The following is a 5,776-nucleotide window of genomic DNA, read 5'->3' on the forward strand; positions in this document are numbered from 1 at the left end:
GATCACGTGTCTAGCCATTTATTCCTTTAATCAATCAGCTTGGCTCCTCTCCATCCACGTTGGCTTTCTGGCTGTTCTTCAGGTACACTCCCACTTCCGGGGACTTGACACTGGCTGCTCTGCCTGGGACTTTCTTCTCTCAGGTATCCCGATGGGTAACTCTCTCATTTCCTTGAAGTCTTTGCTTAACTGTCACTTTCTCAATGAAGCCTATCCTGACTACGCTATTTAACACTGAGACCCCCCTTCCACCCATGTCACCCCACCAACACACTTTCAAACTCCCTTTTCCTGTCCATTTTTTCATAGCACTTATCTCTTTCTAACACAAAATAGAATTTAATTACTAATGTCGTGCACTTACTATCTGTCTTCTCCCATTAAAATATTAATGCCACAAAGTGAGGGGATTGGTGTGTTTTCTGTTCACTGATATATCCCTTAGCACTAAGAACAGTGCCTGGTACATAGTAGATACTCAGTAAATACTGCTGTCAAATTAATGAATTTATTGTCTTCGTGGTGCCTATTACTAGGCCAGATCCTGGAGTAGGGCTATAAGAGAATAAGACATTTTGTGACTTAGAATCTGCCTCTCCAAATATTATACACCTATTTGATTTCATTTTGGCTGGCTAGGCTGCAAACATTTGGAGGCAGGTATACTGCCTTTGACTTGCCTCAACTCCCCTGATGCTCACTCAGTCCCTTTCCTCCCCACCCCACGCCTGGTGCCCCAACCGTAATTGCTATTCTACTGGCACCCATTCTTTCCAAGTTTCTCTTCTCTCTTCAGTGGGGAGGAATAAGTAGGAAGGGGGTAAAATCACTCTTTTCACTAAATCTAGGTACTTACCAATATATATGATGTTGGAACGCTTCAGAAAAACACAAATGATTCTTAGAACAATAATTTGAGATTTTTATTTTTACAACATAAACGTGTAGGAAAACCTCAAACAACTCTAAAACTTAAAAAAGAAAAAAAAAGTTCAGGTGTGTTTTTGCCTTAAACCAATTCCAATAAATGAGAACTCAAACTTATAAAAATAGACTGGATCTGGGAGCAGCTTTTCACATTTCAAAGGATGCCTCACTTCATATAAAGAATTTACTACATGTTTTTGTTGTTGTTGTTGTTGTTGTTGTTGTTTTGTTTTGTTTTTTCTGAGACAGAGTCTCAATCTGCCACCCAGGCTGGAGTGCAGTGGCGCAATCTCAGCTCACTGCAACCTCTGCCTCCCAGGTTCAAGCGATTCTCCTGCCTCAGCCTCCTGAGTAGCTGGGACTACAGGCATGTGCCACCACGCCTGGCTAATTTTTTTGTACTTTTAGTAGAGATGGGGTTTCACCATGTTGGTTAGGCTGATTTTGAACTCCTGACCTCAAATGATCCACCCGCCTCGGCCTCCCAAAGTGCTGGGATTACAGGCGTGAGCCACTGCGTCCAGACAGTTATTTTAAATAGTTCGTTCAATTGAATAAAAAATTGAACCCATATGTCCTACAATGGAGAAACTGAGATTAAATGATCAACGTTCAATTCATACAATGGACTAGTAAACAGTCATTAAAAGTTATGTTCTTAATAAAATGGGAAAATGCTAATATTGTAATGGGGGAGAAAGTTGAAAACAAAATTGTATAATTACAATTATTTTTAAAAATCCATAATATTATATACCTTAAATTGGTATATTGGGCTATTAAAAAAAGGAAAAACAAACAAAATCCATAATAAGAATACTGGAAGGAAAGACACCAAATTATTAACAGATTGTTTCTGAGTGTAAAGATTGTAAATAATTTCCTTTTATTCTTTTGAATTGTCTGTCTACATTTTCTATAATGGGAGTGTATTATTTTTATTGTAAAGATTAATATATGGCCAGGCCCGGTAGCTCATGCCTGTAATCCCAGCACTTTGGAGGCCAAGGTGGGGAAGATCATTTGAGGTCAGGAGTTGGAGACCAGCCTGGCCAACATGGTGAAAACCCATCTCTACTGAAAATAACCAGGTGTGGTGGTGCACCTGTAATCCCAGCTACTCCGGAGGCTGAGGCAGGAGAATCGCTCGAACCCAGGAGGCAGAGGTTGCAGTGAGCCGAGATCGCACCACTGCACTCCAACCTGGGTGACTGAGTGAGACTCTGTCTCGAAACAAAATAAAATAAAATTTTAAAAAAGATTAAAGTAAACTTTAAAAACAAAATCCAGGTTTGATTTTTTAAAATTTGATTTGCACAAAACTTTCCAGAATTGTCACTATTGAGGTGACTATTGAGTTGTCACTATTGAGGGAGAAAAAATTCCAGGACAACTGTTTATCAAGTTTTTAATCTAATCACTCATTTGCTTAAGAACGAATCTATAAGATCTATTATACAACATGGTAACTACAGTTCATTACAATATGTTGTGGAATGAAAATTGCTAAGTAGCTAGGCGCGGTGGCTCACGCCTGCAATCCCAGCACTTTGGGAGGCCAAGGCAGTAGGATCGCATGAACCCAGGAGTTCAAGACCAGTGTGGGAAACATAGCAAAACCCCGTCTCTACAAAAAAAATGCACAAAATAGCTGGACGTGTTGGTGCATACCTGTGGTCCCACTGCTCGGGAACCAAGGTAGAAGAGTGAGAAAAACTGATGGTCCTTTTAAGAAAATGTGTGGCAGTTCCTTCTGTGGGAAATGAGGGAGGAGCCTCATGTCAAGTGGTTATTTAAAACCCATATCTTGTCATTTGTGGGCTTGAAATGAATTTGGCTAAATGAATTGACTAAATTGAATTTTTAGAAATCAAATCTTGATCTTCATTTTTAAAGGTTTAAAATGTATTTGTTCTTTGTATTGAATGGAGGAATTCCGTTTAAATGTTCAAAACTGGTAGGTAGGACTGTACAAGAAAAGATGAAGGCGGTGATGACAAACCAATAAATTCAAGGAGGCCGTTTGGAGAAATCGCTGAGTCAAGAGTACGGCAATCACGTGAAGATTTTAATAAAAACGAAACTAATCAGACGCGTTTAGACTTCCCTTCCCTCTCCACCCACTTTTGGTCTTGTTAAAGGGAAGAGGAGGGTCGGTTTTAATCAATCCTTCGGTTTCCCTACTGGGCGGAGCACTGAGAAGGTGGCGGAAGGAGGGGCAACTGGGCCCGGCTGGCGCGCCTTCAGGCACGTGGGTCTGGGTTGCGGACCAGGAACACAGCGATCAGGGCGAAACATTGGCCTTTTGTGTCTCTTGCGTTTGGTACGTTTTGGGGGCCGGCTGCAGCTGTGAAAGGCCGCACTCGCTGCCAGCGGTCAAGGCGACCTTGTTCAGCAAAGCCACTATTGTACTTTGAGCTAGTGACTCCGGCGGCTTGGCAGCTTTCTAGGCATTCCTCCAGGACCTTTCTCCCCCTGGAGGCCTCAGCTTTAAATGCAGTTTGTTTTTACAGTTGGATACAGCTCTATTCTTGGCTTTGGCGCCAGGAGTAGCTTGCAATCCTTGCCAGTTAATTGTGGCCTCTGCGCGAAAAGAACGATGAAGTGCTGCCCTTTTATGTCTAAAGGTGGCGCTTCGGACTTCGCTGGCAGTAGCTGGCAGTAGGTGCTTTGAAGTCTTTCTTCAGCGAACCTACTCATCTGGTGGCCTTTATGCGAGCATGAACCTGCACCAAAGCCACTAGGCTTAGTACCTGTCCTGGGTTGGCATGTCTGTGGGTGCCGCTGTAGCTATAAATGACTTTGATTGGCATAAACACAATTGTTTCACATGTGCACTTGTCAAAATTTAATTAATTGGACACTTTATTTCTGCTAGCGAAGTTTCCTAAAAACAAATAAATAGTACACTTTAAATATATGTAGTTTATTATATGTCACTGATGCCTCAATAAAGTTGTTTAAAAGAAGCACATTCAGAAGATTAATACATGATAACTAAGATTAAGTAACTGATAAAAATACAAAATGTGTTTCTTTTATCTACATCACCGAGTAGAGAAAAAAAATCACATCTATTGCCCAATTTCGTAATTTAACTGCCATTTATTTTAAAGCCTTTAATTTCTGTAAATATAGGCACGTGGTTTTACTTGCAAAGTTTTCCTGAGGATGTTTAGTTAATATTTGATTTACTATTGCCCTGACACCGAAGAAAACACAAAGCCACTATTCTTCAAAAAAGAAAAGAAAAAAAGAAAGAAAACAAGTGATCATAGCCCCGTAGGAGATAGCCCGGCACAGGGGTCAGGAACCCTGGCTAAGGGGTCAGGCCAACGTCGGTCTGAACGGAAACTGCCATATACCAGCTGTGTGAGCTAAGTTGAATTCCTCACTTTCTCTGAGCCTCGGCTTTCTCACAGAGTTCCTGAGTGAATCAGGGTCAGCAAGGGAGGAGTAGAAGGAGAGTAATTTGGGGGGAACCTCAACTCTACGTGGGCCTCAAATATGGGCTGCTGTCTCATAATAAATTTGTGTGGAATTACTGGGAGAATGATTCTCACAAAAGTCGATCCTAAGTGAAATCCGTCAGCCCTGCTACTAGAAGGTAAGAGAATAGGAGGTCGGTGAGTGTCCTTAAAATCTGAAAGTTTCAGCTGAGTGTGGTGGCTCATGCCTGTAATCTCAGCACTTTGGGAGGCCGAGGCAGATGGATCACCTGAGGTCAGGAGTTCGAGACCAGCCTGGCCAACATGGTGAAACCTCGTCTCTACTAATAATACACAAAGTAGCCAGGCATGGTGGTGCATGCCTGTCATCCCAGCTACTCAGGAGGCTGAGGCAGGAGAATCACTTGAACCTGGGAGGCAGAGGTTGCAGTGAGCCAAGATCACACCATTGCACTCCAGCCTTGGCAACAAGAGTGAAACTCCGTCTCAAAAAAAAAAAAAAAAAAAATAGAAAGTTTCCCAGGCCTGGAGGACTTTTAATGATTAAATGAGATAATAATGAATGTGAAGGCCCAGAACGCTACCTGATACATACTACTGTGTAATCAATGGTATTTATTTCTATTTTGTCATTATCATCAGTGGTGTAATCACCACCAATGGCACTTATTTTTTTTTTATTCTCATTGGTGATCGAACCACCTACCTGATAGTATTATTGTGAGCAGAGCATTAATGAACAAAAGCAAGTAGAGTTCCTAGCAGAGAGCCTGAGACATAAGGCTAGTCGGTATTCATTTTCTTCCCCCTTCCCTCTCCCTTACTTTGAAGCATTCAGCTCAGATGCAGCCTACATCATGAAGTTTTCCCTGCTTCACATTTCCCAAGTCAACACATGTGGCCTTTCCTGTGGCTACGGGGTTGGATGGGAGAAGCGTCATTGCCAAGTGCAGGCTAGTGTGGGAGACCTGAGTTGGCTCAGCTGGCACTGAGCTGCAGGAAGGCATCTAAGCTTGCACCGACGTGTTGCCCTGGACTTTGTGCACTTCCGTGGTAGTTGCTATAAGGGAAGGAAGTGGGGTGTCACAGGTTGGGTTTTGCCAAAATAGGCTGAGGTAGAATTTGAAGTGAAAGATGTGTATTTAGAAATCAATACCTGTGAAAGGAAGGGGTGGGAGGCAGGATGCATCCCAACAACGGTGATGCCAGCCCAACACAGCCTTGACCAACCCCACAGGAATGTCTGGAGTGACTATTGCCATCAGTGTCCCACAATGGGCTGATAAGGCTGGGCCTTCATCCCCCTCTCTCTATCACTGGACGCAGGCTGCCCTGGAGAGAGCATGACCTCATGACCTGAAGTGGAGGCAGACCCTGCAGTCGCTGACAGCTAATTCTTT

The sequence above is a fragment of the Homo sapiens genome, chromosome X, assembly GCF_000001405.40.
Source record: "Homo sapiens chromosome X, GRCh38.p14 Primary Assembly".
NCBI lineage: Eukaryota > Metazoa > Chordata > Mammalia > Primates > Hominidae > Homo > Homo sapiens.